The 13,393-nt window shown below is 39.3% G+C and overlaps 1 protein-coding gene and 1 long non-coding RNA gene across 7 annotated transcripts in view, besides 8 other annotated features; one reads left to right on the top strand and one right to left on the bottom strand.

Annotated features, from left to right (window-relative positions):
• Positions 1–1,840: 1,840 nt before the first annotated feature.
• PPP1R12A-AS1 (PPP1R12A antisense RNA 1) lies at positions 1,841–7,955 on the bottom strand. Of its 3 annotated transcripts, NR_146533.1 has the most exons (3): positions 7,578–7,955; positions 4,384–4,508; positions 1,841–2,874 (listed from the first exon to the last, which is right to left on the bottom strand). It is a non-coding gene; the product is annotated as a PPP1R12A antisense RNA 1 (long non-coding RNA). The 3 variants fall into 3 exon arrangements; NR_146534.1 differs by lacking the exon at positions 4,384–4,508; NR_146535.1 differs by lacking the exon at positions 4,384–4,508 and having other exon boundaries at positions 7,682–7,955.
• Positions 7,624–8,189: an enhancer, noted in NCBI's record as "H3K27ac hESC enhancer chr12:80328827-80329392 (GRCh37/hg19 assembly coordinates)". NCBI's record gives its function as "activates a minimal SCP1, AML or CMV promoter by ChIP-STARR-seq in naive H9 embryonic stem cells {active_cell/tissue: H9 hESC(naive)}" and the evidence as "EXISTENCE:reporter gene assay evidence [ECO:0000049][PMID:30033119]".
• Positions 7,624–8,753: a biological region, named in NCBI's record as "H3K27ac hESC enhancers GRCh37_chr12:80328263-80328826 and GRCh37_chr12:80328827-80329392".
• PPP1R12A (protein phosphatase 1 regulatory subunit 12A) overlaps positions 7,776–13,393 on the top strand; it is a 161,898-nt gene continuing 156,280 nt past the window's right edge. For 2 of the 4 annotated variants that reach the window (NM_001244990.2, NM_001143885.2), the window contains exons 1-2: positions 7,776–7,883; positions 8,285–8,541. In NM_001244990.2, the coding sequence (NP_001231919.1) occupies positions 8,305–8,541 (237 nt within the window). In that variant the 5' untranslated portion in view covers positions 7,776–7,883; positions 8,285–8,304. Of the gene's footprint in view, positions 7,884–8,138; positions 8,542–13,393 lie in introns of those variants that run through there. The other 2 variants (NM_002480.3, NM_001244992.1) reach the window with 2 other exon arrangements.
• Positions 7,913–8,207: an enhancer, noted in NCBI's record as "tiled region #5962; HepG2 Activating DNase unmatched - State 1:Tss, and K562 Activating DNase unmatched - State 1:Tss". NCBI's record gives its function as "activates a minimal TATA promoter and a strong SV40 promoter by Sharpr-MPRA in HepG2 and K562 cells {active_cell/tissue: HepG2 | K562}" and the evidence as "EXISTENCE:reporter gene assay evidence [ECO:0000049][PMID:27701403]".
• Positions 8,190–8,753: an enhancer, noted in NCBI's record as "H3K27ac hESC enhancer chr12:80328263-80328826 (GRCh37/hg19 assembly coordinates)". NCBI's record gives its function as "activates a minimal SCP1, AML or CMV promoter by ChIP-STARR-seq in naive H9 embryonic stem cells {active_cell/tissue: H9 hESC(naive)}" and the evidence as "EXISTENCE:reporter gene assay evidence [ECO:0000049][PMID:30033119]".
• Positions 8,254–8,553: an enhancer, noted in NCBI's record as "active region_6687". NCBI's record gives its function as "activates an Ori minimal core promoter by ATAC-STARR-seq in GM12878 lymphoblastoid cells {active_cell/tissue: GM12878}" and the evidence as "EXISTENCE:reporter gene assay evidence [ECO:0000049][PMID:35858748]".
• Positions 8,634–8,723: a silencer, noted in NCBI's record as "silent region_4683". NCBI's record gives its function as "represses an Ori minimal core promoter by ATAC-STARR-seq in GM12878 lymphoblastoid cells {active_cell/tissue: GM12878}" and the evidence as "EXISTENCE:reporter gene assay evidence [ECO:0000049][PMID:35858748]".
• Positions 8,754–9,319: an enhancer, noted in NCBI's record as "H3K27ac hESC enhancer chr12:80327697-80328262 (GRCh37/hg19 assembly coordinates)". NCBI's record gives its function as "activates a minimal SCP1, AML or CMV promoter by ChIP-STARR-seq in naive H9 embryonic stem cells {active_cell/tissue: H9 hESC(naive)}" and the evidence as "EXISTENCE:reporter gene assay evidence [ECO:0000049][PMID:30033119]".
• Positions 8,894–8,953: an enhancer, noted in NCBI's record as "active region_6686". NCBI's record gives its function as "activates an Ori minimal core promoter by ATAC-STARR-seq in GM12878 lymphoblastoid cells {active_cell/tissue: GM12878}" and the evidence as "EXISTENCE:reporter gene assay evidence [ECO:0000049][PMID:35858748]".

Genomic DNA, 13,393 nt, shown 5'->3' with positions numbered 1-13,393 from the left:
CCATTACTGGGTATACACCCAAAGGATTATAAATCATGCTACTATAAAGACACATGCACACGTATGTTTATTGTGGCACTATTCACAATAGCAAAGACTTAGAACCAACCCAAATGTCCATCAGTGATAGACTGGATTAAGAAAATGTGGCATATATACACCATGGAATACTATGCAGCCATAAAAAAGGATGCAGGGACATGGATGAAGCTGGAAACCATCATTCTCAGCAAACTATCACAAGGACAGAAAACCAAACACCACATGTTCTCACTCATAGGTGGGAATTGAACAATAAGAACACTTGGACACAGGGCAGGGAACATCACACACTGGGGCCTGTTGGGGGTTGGGGGACTGGGGGAGGGATAGCATTAGGAGAAATACCTAATGTAAATGCTGAGTTGATGGGTGCAGCAAACCAACATGGCACATGTATACCTATGTAACAAACCTGCACGTTGTGCACGTGTACCCTAGAACTTAAAAGTATAATAAAAAAAAAGAAAGAAAACATGGATATGGAAGCCATGAATATAAATGACTCTTTATCAGGAGTACTTTTTTGTGAATTGGAGAACAAACATTAGAGTTGTATATAAGGTCAATGGAATATTTTTTGTGTGAGCTATTTATTGGTTTAATTTTAGTATTTCTCAACAGGGGAGTTATTAGCATTTTGGGAAGGGTACTTAGTTGTTGTTTGGAAAATTCCCACACATCACAAGTTATTTATTACTCACTTCCTCACTAAACGACAGTAGTGTTCCACAATCATTTTGATAATCAAAAACACCTCACCCACATGTCCAAATATCTCTGGAGTAATGGCATTGACTCTATTAGAGAATCACAACACAGTCTCCCCACAATCCATTCTTTTTCTCCCTCAATATTTCATTGTAAAAAATATCAAACAGCAAAGCTGAAAAAATAGTAACAGACACTTGGATACCTGTTACCTAAGTTCAGAAATTAAAATCTTGCCAAACTTGCACTGTCTACTTACATGCATTTGTATGTATTTATTTTTTATTTCATGAAATCATTTGAAAGGAAGTTGCAACATCATATTTAACATACTCATCTCCTTAAATTAAGGATACATTCCTACATAATCACATTATTACATCTTAGAACAGAAATAACAAAAATTCCTTAATATCATCTAAAACACAATCCATATTCAATTTTTCCAATAATCAATTACATACAACTTTTTTCCAAACCGGAACTTAATCAAAGTTTACAAGCTTAATTAGTCATTATGATTTTCAGTATCTTTTAATCTAGAACATTTTTATTTAAAATTTTTTATAACACTGACTTTTTAAAAGAAACCAGGCCAGTGCCCTAGAGATTATCCTACATTTCAGGTTTGTTTGATTAAGTATGTGTGGTATCATTTAATATGTTCTTCTATCTCCCATGTTTCTAGTAAAGTGATATTTGATCTAAAACACCTGGTTAAACTCAGGCTAAAATTTAGGTAATGCTTAGGCACATAATGGAGGTTGCTCTACTATTAATGCTGCTATGCTTGATCATGGAATTGAATCTTTGGCCAGTATATATTGTTGATTGCAGGGAATGAGTGTTTACATTGTTATAGTTTTAGCACTAGTACATACAGAGTACCAATAGGGTACTCATAAATACCGGCTTAATGAATGGTGAATAAATGAATGATTTAAACTGATGTTAAGTGATAGCTAACAAAACTGAGAGCTGGGTTTTGACACATATTTTCTAGAATCCTTGGTTCTAGATCTAGCTGAGGAAACAAATTGAGTGTTTATACACTCAATTACTGTTATAGTTTTTTTTTTTTTTTTTTTTTGAGACGTCTCACTCTGTCGCCAGGCTGGAGTGCAGTGGCACAATCTCGGCTCACTGCAACCTCCACCTCCCAGGTTCAAGCGATTCTCCTGCCTCTGCCTCCCAAGTAGCTGGGACACCAGGCACATGCCACCACGCCCAGCTAATTTTTGTATTTTTAGTAGAGACGGGGTTTCACCATTGTTGGCCAGGTTGGTCTCGATCTCTTTACTTCGCGATCCACCTGCCTCAGCCTCCCAAAGTGCTGGGATTACAGGCATGAGCCACCACGGCCAGCCACTGTTGTAGTTTTAAATCATATATTTTATAAGGAGCACATAATTTTCTGTTCACTTGAGTGGACCCCTTCCAAGGCCCTGAAGTTAATTATTTGTAATTTTAAATTCTTTTTCTTGAAGAAGAATCTCTAAACTGTAATAATATCAGGTTCCAGAAAACCTGGATACACCCTCAGCTCAGATCTTTCCTGGTTAAATCCGTCTCTTCTCTTCCCCCACCCTTCACTGCTAGTAACTTCAGAAATTGTTTTTCGCTCTCTTTAGCCCAATTTTTTTCTTCACTACATTTAGCGGTATCTGAATTTATTCATTTAAAATGTATTCATTTTCTGTCCCTCTTTACTAGAATGTAAGCTCATTGATGGCAGGTACTTCATTTGTTTCATTTGCTCCTGTGACCCCAGAACCCAGAATAATGATTCACAAAGAATAGGTGCCAATCAATACATTTTCAATGACTGACCTCGGATCCACCAAACTGCTACATTTCAGCCATGTTTGTGGCACAGCTATGTTTGGCTACTGGGAGTCCCAGGCTTATGTTCCAGCCTCCATGAAGCAGCCATTCATTTTGAGATCCTGTCACATTCTGGCTACTTCCAGAGATCTGTGAGCAAATCCCTGCTGTTCAAGAGACCAACAGACTTCTCTCTCATTCTTTTGAGCCTTGGTGTCACTTATTATTCTCAGTGAAATCCTTCTTTCCCATGGAAGCACCCAAAGATGGCTTGGGTGAACCCCTCTGCTTGGTTCCACCCTAAGTAAAAATAACATTCCATGGAGTTATGGTGAAAATTTTTGTAAAGTGAAAATAAAGGCAAATTTAGAAAACAGTGCTATTTTTATTGATTTATAATGCTATGCAAATAGAACTTAAATAAGTTTCTAGCAACCTCATATACTAATTCCAATCAGATCACTAGCCCTAAATTCTTATTAAATAGAAATTGGTGGGTGGACATTTCAAGTAGGAGGGAAAATGTTTTGAAAGCAACTTCTGCTTTCTTCCTTGCCACAAACCTGTCCTGAGGCAAGGAAGCAGAGTTGCTATCAGCTTAAATAAGGGAAGGAAAAGGCAAATACAAGAACACAAATAAAATCTCAAATTTTTTTCTCTCTCACATACATTATTCATTTAATCTTTAAGACAACCACATGAAGTTGATATTCCCACCTGTCAAAATTGAGCACGGTCAGCATGTTTTGGTTCTCATGAATACCTTGTTTTTGCACTCTGGTCTGTGAAGGAATTTTAAAGCTTTTCCTAGGATTTGATTTGAAGGACAATTGAATGGATCCCTCAACTAAATATTAGTGATCCAAGATAGAACTCATGCACCTAAACTTGCCTTCCAGATATTGATCTTGTAATTTATTCTTCTAATTTCAGTGCCATGGAGAATGACTCTTATTTCTGAAATTCCTTCAGCACACAGATATTTTCATACAAATTGGCCTTCCTGCCAATGCCTTGCCTTGACACCTTGAGTTGGGGGTGCCACTAAGGCCTATCCTATAACCTTCACTTAATTAATCGTAATTATTATTACACATACTAATTAAAGTCAGTCAGTTTCCTAAAGTGTAGGACATGTAGACTGGTGGTACATGAGGTAATGTTATAAGGTAGATGTAACATTAAAACAACAGTGAAGCACTTAGCACAATATTCTTTTTTCACTACCTTTTAATCTTTCCGATTATGCTAAACTGAAAAATCTTAGGTTGATGCTCACATGTCCAACCCTTACCAATATCCCTTTTTTAACAAATTGAGAGCACAGCTTGGGCTCAGACCCTTGACAGACAACCTAACTAATGTTTTGTTTTCATTGTATTTGCTTTAACAGTCTTCTTTATGTCAAGTGGAAACGTTTTTCACTTACCAAAGCAACATAATGTTGCTTTAAAATAAATTTGTCTTAAAAAGGTTAAAGAAAACATTAAGCAAATACTAGTATTTGCGGTTCTTGAATTTGGCAATAAAACTGATAAAGTTTGGGAAACATTAATTCATATGAAAGGGGCATGTGATGTTCTGTCACATGATACAGGTTGGGAGTCATGTGCAATGGAGGTGAGTTATCTCTTTAGCAGTATAACTGCACTTTGGATTGTTGCCAGACACTCATCTGAGTCCTAGTTTTGGGGAACAAAAGAAGCTTTATGAGCATATTAGCCAGTACTTGTACTGTGATAGGGTTAGTTTCTTGAAATGGAGTCAGATGTGGCAGAAAATTTACCCTAAAGTAAATTAGAAACTCACCTTGTAATCCAGAGGCAAGGCAAAGATTAGATGCTATGATCTAGAAATCAGGATTGATCTAGCAATGGAGTCTGAAGCAAGTTAGGGTGGTTCCATGTTGGTTCTGGTCAACTCCCTGGGTAGGACTAAATAAATTATGATGTGAATGGATTGTAAACTTTTCTTCAAGTTCTTTTTTTTTTTCTTTTTGAGACAGAGTCTTGCTCTGTCACCCAGGCTGGAATGCAGTGGCACAATCTTGGCTCACTGCAACCTCCGCCTTCTGGTTCAAGTAATTCTCATGTATTCTCGGGTTCAGCCTCCCGAGTAGCTGAGATTACAGGCACGTGCCACCACGCCCAGCTAATTTTTGTATTTTTAGTAGAGACGGGGGTTTTGCCATGTTGGCCAGGCTGGTCTCGAACTACTAACCTCAGGTGATCTGCCCACGTGGGCCTCCCAAAGCCCTGGGATTACAGGCATGAGCCACCGTGCCCAGCCTTTTCTTCAGGTTCTTAAATAAAACATTGGAAAGAAATTATTATGCAATGGAAGAGAGTTTGGCCCAGGTGTAGAATACAGGAGACAGAAACAAGGTCCTTGTTGACTGTTCTATTCTCAAGTGTATAAATGTAAATTAGTATCTCAGGTTTAAATTAGGGATAAAGAGAACATAGATATATCAAAGTATTTATTAATATCTTATGTACATTTTTAACAAAGAGATTATAATAGCAGAAACAAATCTAAGCTGTGCATGTCAGCATTTCAAATATGTTTATAATTTAAATTAAGTTGATCATAATTAGCAAGCAAATTAATGGTAAGGAATGTCAGTAGTGTGATTAAACTTTGAAAAAGATATACACAGATCTCATTCTGACAATCTTGTGCATGTAATAAATAAAACCCCCAGCCAGGTACAGTGGCTCAAGCCTGTAATCCCAACACTTTAAGAAGCCAAGGCAGAGGATCACTTGAGCCCAGGAGTTTGAGACCAGCCTGGACAACATAGGTAGACCCCATCTTTACAAAACTTAAAAAATAAATTAGCTAAGCCTGGTGGTGCACGCGCCTGTAGTCTCAGCTACTTGGGAGGCTGAGATCATGCCTCTGCACTGCAGCCTGAGCGATAGAGTGAGACCCTGTCTCAGAAACAAAAACCTCCAATATGATTGATTTGGTGCAGCCAAAAATATATTTTTATATATACATATATGCAAATTAGTAAGTATAGTTTTATTTGTACTTCTATTTTAAGGCTTAATTTGCTTTAAAGGAGCTAAAATGTATCCTCACATCCCAATCTGTTTAGAAGCCATTAGGAAGTGAAAATATTTGCATTTTTTCCATTTGTTCTGCTTAGACAAATATGTAATAAAAGCATGTGTGTGTGTGTGTGTGTCTTTTTTTTTTTTTTTTGGTAAAGATAGGGTCTAGCTCTGTCGCTCAGGTTGTAGTGCAGAGAGCTCACTGCAGCCTCGAACTCCTGGGCAGAGTTCGCCTCAGCCTCTCAAAGTGATAGGATTACAGGTGTGAGCCACTGTGCTGGGACTGTGTGTGTCAATAAAAAATTTTGCTTGTTCTAGAATTAACCCAAGGTCTTCAGTACCATTAATTCACTAACAACAATTTAAAAAAAATCCTCCCTAAAGACAAAGTAGGTGGCAGTTTCAGAGTACTTTCAATATTAACATAGAGCATCTTGACCCTTAGAGCCACGAAAGAAGAAAAACTAAATTCAGTGAAATTTGCACATGATAGCAGCCCTCCTTGGTTGTTTTTTCCCTGACAGCTTCTGGGAACTGAATGAACTTAATTATGTTTTATTAATAAACTATTATTAATTTTGCATCCTGAAATAAGTGCTTGAATCAGGAATAGCATACTTCCCACTAAATTCCTTTTGCCTGAATGAAATCTTCAGATTCCCATCTATACTGCAAGGGCACTTTAAGAGCTACCACATAGGCCATAACGTTCTTGGAAAACAGGATATGCTGTCAGTTGCCTAGGTAGAGACAGGAGCTGACAAGGCAATCCTCAAGTTCCTTTCTTTTATTCTGAGAGCTGTATTCTGTGGATAGGGATTTTGTATTTTAGTGCTAACAATGTTTTTCAGTACCTAACACCATGAGTATTCAAAGGTCTGATGTTATCTTTAATGTATGTAATGAACATACAATGGTATATCTTATGAATATTACATTCATTTTCTATTCCTACAACGTTTTCAGAGGAAATATTTTTACCCTGACCTGGATTCTATCGCTATCCTAATAACTGTGGTTCAGAAAATTGTCTCACAGGCAGACAGTTTCCTAATCACGTTTTACTCAATTATTTTATTTCTCAATATGATAGGCTGTGAAGTAGTCCACTGGAAAAGGCATCATGCTGAGAGTAAGAAAAGCTTATTTGTTCACTGCTCTATCTCCAGCACCTAGAACAATGCCTGACCCAGAACAGGTGCATAGTATTTGCTGAGTGAATTCTAATCCTACTTCTGGGTAAAATTAAGTAAATTAATTAGTTCTTGAGGGACTCTGTCTAGATGACCCCTAAACTTCCATGGTAAGGTTTTGTGGTTTTTATCTTGGCTTTTCTAAATGCTCTAAAAATAGTAGTGGATGGTAACAATGCAGTGTTCAGTAAAATCAATTGGTGGAGATTGTAGATAGATGGCTCATAAGACATCAGTATTACAAATCCTATGTGTGTGCGCGTGTGGTCATACAAGGCAAAGTTAAAGTCTTTTTTTTATGACGATGATAAATTAGTCTTGTTTGGGCGACTGAACTCAAGAGGTGGTTCAAATAAATGTCATATTTTTCATTGTATCTTCAGTGCCTAGTACAGTTACTGGCTCATAGTAGGTATTCAATAAATAGTGGTTGAATTAATTGCCTTCCTTAACGTTCCGTTTAAATGCTAGACGCAGCTAGGTCTTTACCCCTCCTTAGAAAGAGATGGAGCTGTAACCAGAAATCCCTTAAAAGGTAAGGACCAGTAATCAGGCTGAGCTAAGCTCATGGGTAGTACGAGACAGGCTTAAAGCACTGAAGGAAGAAAGAAGAGAACCCAAGCGTGAGAGAAAGCAAAACAAAACAAGTAAAGAGAGGAAGAAAAACATTTCTAAAGTGGGGGTTGGCAGGAAGCCACAGCAATTACAGCAGGTCAACCCTTGTCAATAGGTGGTCACCTCAAGAACTTACCATTAAAACCCTCGGCCACACAGACCCCACTTTTAAAAGGTTATTAATTCTGACATGCCCAAGTTCATCTGAGTTCCTTAGAAAGATCAACCAGCAGCACCTACTTCACGACCTATCCTCCATTCCATTCAAATAACGCGGCCAATAGGAAAATCCTCCGCCCTGAGCCAACGACTCGGCGTAGCTGAGACAGCACGGGAGGCAGATCTGCCCTGTAGAGCCTTGCGGTTCCACTGCTGGCCTCCGGATTCCCGGGAGCCCCCAGCCCGACAGGACAACCTTCCTTCCCCGCTTCCTCCTTTCCAGGTCTGTCCCAGCCCCCGCTGCCTGGGCCACACCCGCTTCCCTCTGGTGGCCCAGCCACCACCGCCGCAGTTCGCGGGAGCGCTCTTCCTGGGGCGGGCACAGGCCCAGGGCGCATGCGCACTGGTCGAAGGGCGCCTCCCAGTCCGGATCTCGCGAAGTTACGTTAGATTGGCCGCCGGTGACGGGTGGCCGTGCTGGGGGCGGGAGGGCTTCTGTGGTAGGAAGGGAGGTCCGCTCGGCCGGGTGCGCCGCCCCAGTGCTCTGTGGGATACTGGAAGTCTCGAGCGTCGGCTCCGGGTTCCCAGCCCTCCTCTGGCCCGCACTCATAGAAACATTCACACACCCCCTGCCTCCCCTCTCTTCCCTCTCCGCCTCCCCCTTCCCCCCCTCGCGATAAGAAGACCCGGCGGCAGGAGAGGGGATGAAGATGGCGGACGCGAAGCAGAAGCGGAACGAGCAGCTGAAACGCTGGATCGGCTCCGAGACGGACCTCGAGCCTCCGGTGGTGAAGCGCCAGAAGACCAAGGTGAAGTTCGACGATGGCGCCGTCTTCCTGGCTGCTTGCTCCAGCGGCGACACGGACGAGGTCCTCAAGCTGCTGCACCGCGGCGCCGACATCAATTACGCCAATGTGGACGGACTCACTGCCCTGCACCAGGTCTGTGCGCCCCGCCGCCGGCTCTCCTGACCGTGAGGGTTCTCGTCGGCCTCCTGCTCGGGCCTGCCCTCAGTTCTCCACCTCTTGAGGCTGGGGGCGGCGGGAGACTCCCTGCTGCGGGGTGAGGGGGCGGTTTCCCCAGAGGGCGGGAGGGAGAGCTGGTGGAAGGGAGGGCGCTGGGCTTGAGGCCCCCCTTCAGAACAGTTGCTGGTGGAGTTGGGAACCGGGTGATTTCCGGGGCATAGGGGAAAAGGAACTGTGGTCGTTTGGGGCCCCAGGGCCATTCGTGGATAAGTCTGGGATTTGGGGTCGAGACAAGGAGGGGTGTAGTGGGGTTGTGCCTGGGCCCCGGTGTCAGTGGTATATTCGGAGGGGTGGATGCTGAAGGAAGAAAACTAACAAGGGGCATTACGGACGGTTAGGCAGATGAACATCTTTGACTTGTAGGTGGGCATTGGATTTGTTGCACTTTTTAGGACTTGATTACAAATGATGATAATAATAGTAATCTAGAGCCCTAAGCCGAGTGCCCTGAACGAACGATTTCCTGTTTTCTCATTTATTACTCTTGGTCACTGGGGAGGGGAAAACAGGGTGTAATTAGCTGATCTGCACCGGCTGAAAGGAAGGGGATGGAAGTGGGTAGAGTAAGGAAGCCCTCTAAAGGGCTTGCCCACCTCCGGACCGGAACGTGTTGAGTCTGATACTCGAAGTTTGCCGCAGTGTCAGAGATCCTTGAGCCCCAGGTCCTCGGGTGTGCACTGGTGTTAGAAAGAGAAGAATAAATAGGGGACACTCTTTTCAAAGCCGGTTACCAAGCTCTGGTTTTTCTTTTGGGGTTGGGAAAAAAGAAAGCTGGTCACAAACTTTTCTCAAAATGGATGCTTTGTGCATATTAAAGTTTTATAGTAGTCTGATTGGGATCTCTCAATGTTAGCCAAATAAGGAGAAACTATTGGCAATCCAGAGATAATGTTGCCTTGCCTTTAACAGGCCAAAAGCAACACAACCACGTAGAGTTATGCATAAAAAGCAATTTTTAAGTGACGGTAATAGGTGACAAAACATAGGCTTTTTCTATTTTCTTAGCGGGCAACTTGGAATAACTGTAATAGAAAATGACTTTGCAGCGATAGCTTCCCCTTAACAATGAAAAGACTTGTAAGCTATCTCAAAGTTGCCTTGGTTGTGTGTGGAAGATGCATAGCCTTATTTTGAATAATGTTGTAGTAAAAACTTGTTTGGGAGGTTGAAACTCAAGGCTTTATATTTCATGAATATTAACTTGATGCCTTTTAAAAAAAAGGTGTGTAGTGACATTTTTCCTTGTCCTGCTTACTGTTTAAGGGAGTGATGACCATTTTAAATTTTGTGTAATGGAATTCTCTTATCAGACTTGGAGTATAGCCTTTGTTTACAAAGTTGACTGGATATATTGAAATGATTGACACATTGCAGGACAAATATGGAATTAAAAATGTGGCACCCAGTAAAAATATAGCAGGGTGTCTAGCGCTTTCTCAATTTCATTAATTTAGATTCTCTAATGCATAGCAAACTTTTTATTTGGGTGAAGTTTATTTAAGGCATATCATAACTCGTAAAATTTTAAAACCATGGTGTTGAGAATGAAGGAAACTTTTGGCATTAAAAATGATAATGTAATTATATAAGATGAATCTTCAAATTTCTTTCAAGTGTACTTTACACGTTTTAGTGTGAAACAGATTTTGAAAGACGATTATTACTGTAGGAGGTCAGGATAATTGGATAATGGTTCGCATCAATATGTTTTATTCAAATTGTCAAATAGAAATTTAAAGTTACTATTGTTGTGGAGGAACCCAGTTGTATTGGCTTAGAGGAAGACGAAAAGTTTTGATATTTACATTATTGTGATACTGGTTTAGGGAGGAAGAGAAAATACATTTAACTGCCTTCTTAAGATCTTTTTTTCTCCTCTCAATATTCACACGTTACAAGAATTGTCAGACTTACCAATGTCTTCCTGATTAACTGAATTCAGTGGTCAGTTTGGTGTTGTGTAGATATATCTTTATTGGGTATTTTGTTTTAGTTGACAAACAGAAGTTTCTAAATTTACTCCATTTGCGTAATATCTTTCTGTCACTTTTTGTCACTGTGAGTGTGGGTTTGACCCGATAATCTCCAACCGCCTCCCCTTTTCCATAACATTTTTCCATATCTGCAAATGCCTTAAATCGGTGAAGCCAAAGTCTTTAAAATATCAAGCATTAAAAATTTGTGTTATGTTTTCTTCACTCTCATTTCTTATTTATCAACTCTTGTACTTTTTTCCCATTGTTACTATGAAAACAGGGAGTTCACTTTGGGCAAATTTAGGACAACAGTTAGTGAAAGACAATAAATAAAATTAAAAACCACACACACACAAGAAAATTTTAAGCCTTTAAGAAATCTCTTGAACTTAGCTTGTTTTCCATACTTAATTGTAAAAACTAAAATCACTGATTTAATAGTCCTTGAATAGTTCTTTAAAACTTTAACCTCTCAAAAGATCGTAGAATACCTAAAATGTATAACGGGGTTAATTGTTGATTGTTTTTTGAATATTCATTTACTTTCTGGTTTTGATCAAGTGTTCTAAATTTCATTGTCAAGAGAAAAGTTTTAGGAACATCACAACCCACAAATATGCTTTTGAAAATCGAATATTTTGCTTTTACTTTAAAGAGCTTATATTTAAAGGTTTATTAATTTGTTGAATGTGCTACCTCATTAGAAGTTATAAAAGATATCCAGTCTTCAGCTGTTCTTTTTGTATAGAAATGTGTCCTCTGTATAGAAGAAAAAGCAGCGTTTCTTGTCAAATTTCCTATCTTAGTCTCCAGAGTAGCCTTTCTCCCCCACCCACTCTACCCAGGACCTGACCCCCAAAGCTACAAAACAGCACAAAGTTAACCATAGATACAAATTTCTGGTTTTTCTAGAACCGAGGTCTAGAGTAGAATTTCATTATTACCAATGGGGCAATAATCAGCTTCTGATTTTATAGCTACCTGGTAGAGTTTTACAGTATGTGATTATATCTCTATTTTAGCATATTTTGTAAAGATTTAAGGAGATTAATAAAGTTATATATAGAATGCCTTATTGCTGATTCTTACTGATACTGGTGTGCATAAAATACAGGGCTGAGATTTTTCTCCAGCAGTTTTGAGTTTAGCCTGTTGATTTTAGCCTTAAAATCTTTTCTTTTTCCTCTGTGCCAGTGACTTCCAAGTCAGTTTACAGTTCCCTCATTTCTGCAAAGCTCCAAGCCTCATTTCCATTTTTTGGGGTTATGTATTGATTTGAAATGAAATATTAAATGTATTGTAATTTTATATTTAATAATGTCTTTTAAGTAGTAATATAGTAAATACAAGTTCACCCCCTTTGCCATAGAATGGCAACTACTGTATTCACGTTAACCTTTGTGATTTCTTCAAAGGATTTCTTATTGTTCAAATATAGATTTTCATAGTTGCAATTCAGTATTATAATTTTACGTTTATCCGTTAACATTAGAGATACTTATCTTTAGACTTTACCAGCATCCTTTTTAACTAATTATTTTAAAAGTATTATTAATTTGGTGGTAAGACAATTTTACATCGTCAGGAATTTCTTTAAATTCAACCTAAAACAGGTCTATCTTTCTTCATCAAGTCTACTCTTCTCATTGATGTTCCTGTTTCTGTTAATGATGTATTAATCTTTAGAATCAAGTTAAACATTTTAGTTATTGTTTACTCATTCCCCTTGTCTATGCATAATCCAGTCTGTCTTCTAGCTCAGTCTTTTCTTTACAATTACCTTGGCATCAGTTCTTTTCTTTGCCACTTTTTACTGGCAACCTAGTTCATACCTTTATTATTTTATTTTATTTTATTTTTTTGAGATGGAGTTTTGCTCTTGTTGCCCAGGCTGGAGTGCAATGGCGCTATCTTGGCTCACTGAAACCTCCACCTCCCGGATTCGAGCGATTCTCCTGGCTCAGCTTCCCAAGTAGCTGGGATTACAGACGTGTGCCACCATGCCCAGCTAATTTTGTATTTTTAGTAGAGATGCGGTTTCTCTATGTTGATCAGACTGGTCTCGAACTCCTGACCTCAGGTGATCCACCTGCCTCGGCCTCCCAAAGTGCTGGGATTACAGGCGTGAGCCACCGCACCTAGCCTTATTTTTATCCCTAGAGTATAGTAATAGCTTAATTGTTTTTCCTGCCTCTATTCTCTCCCTTATTTAATCTAGCATGCATATTGCTGTCATATTAATCTTTGAACAGTATCATTTTGATGGTGTTATTCCTCTCTCTAAATTTGGATATAGTACATTTTATCATTTAGCTTATGGTTGATACATCTCCATTGTGTTGTATCCTTTATAGAAATTGGTTAACTTGCTTACGTTTCAACTAGATCTTTACATTTTTTATTTCCATGCCTTTAGCCATGCCTTTTATCCTCTCTCCCTCGTTTGCCAATTAAAATTCTAGTCATTGTTCAAGATTCACATTCTCTTTTCTGGGGTGTTCACTGTACCTTATATTCTGCCTCTCCTGCAATAAAAACACTTTTTACTGAATAGTGTTTGTGTTTGTCTTCCCTTGTAGCCTCTGAGGACCTAATCTTCCACAATTTTTGTATTTCCAGAGCCTAGCACATAGTAGATGCTCACTAAAGGTTTATTGAATTTTTATCTTTTTACCTCATCAATAGGAAGTTTTAGAGTTATTTTTATGTTGTGAGATATATTTTTGAAACCTTCGCATCAGATACTTAGCGTATTGTTCTTGCACATAATGGAATTTGTGTGATTATGAAAC

The sequence above is a fragment of the Homo sapiens genome, chromosome 12 (genome assembly GCF_000001405.40).
Source record: "Homo sapiens chromosome 12, GRCh38.p14 Primary Assembly".
NCBI classification, from domain to species: Eukaryota; Metazoa; Chordata; class Mammalia; order Primates; family Hominidae; genus Homo; species Homo sapiens.
The sequence above is the reverse complement of the archived record's forward strand: the minus strand, read 5'-3'. Positions and strand labels throughout refer to the sequence as shown.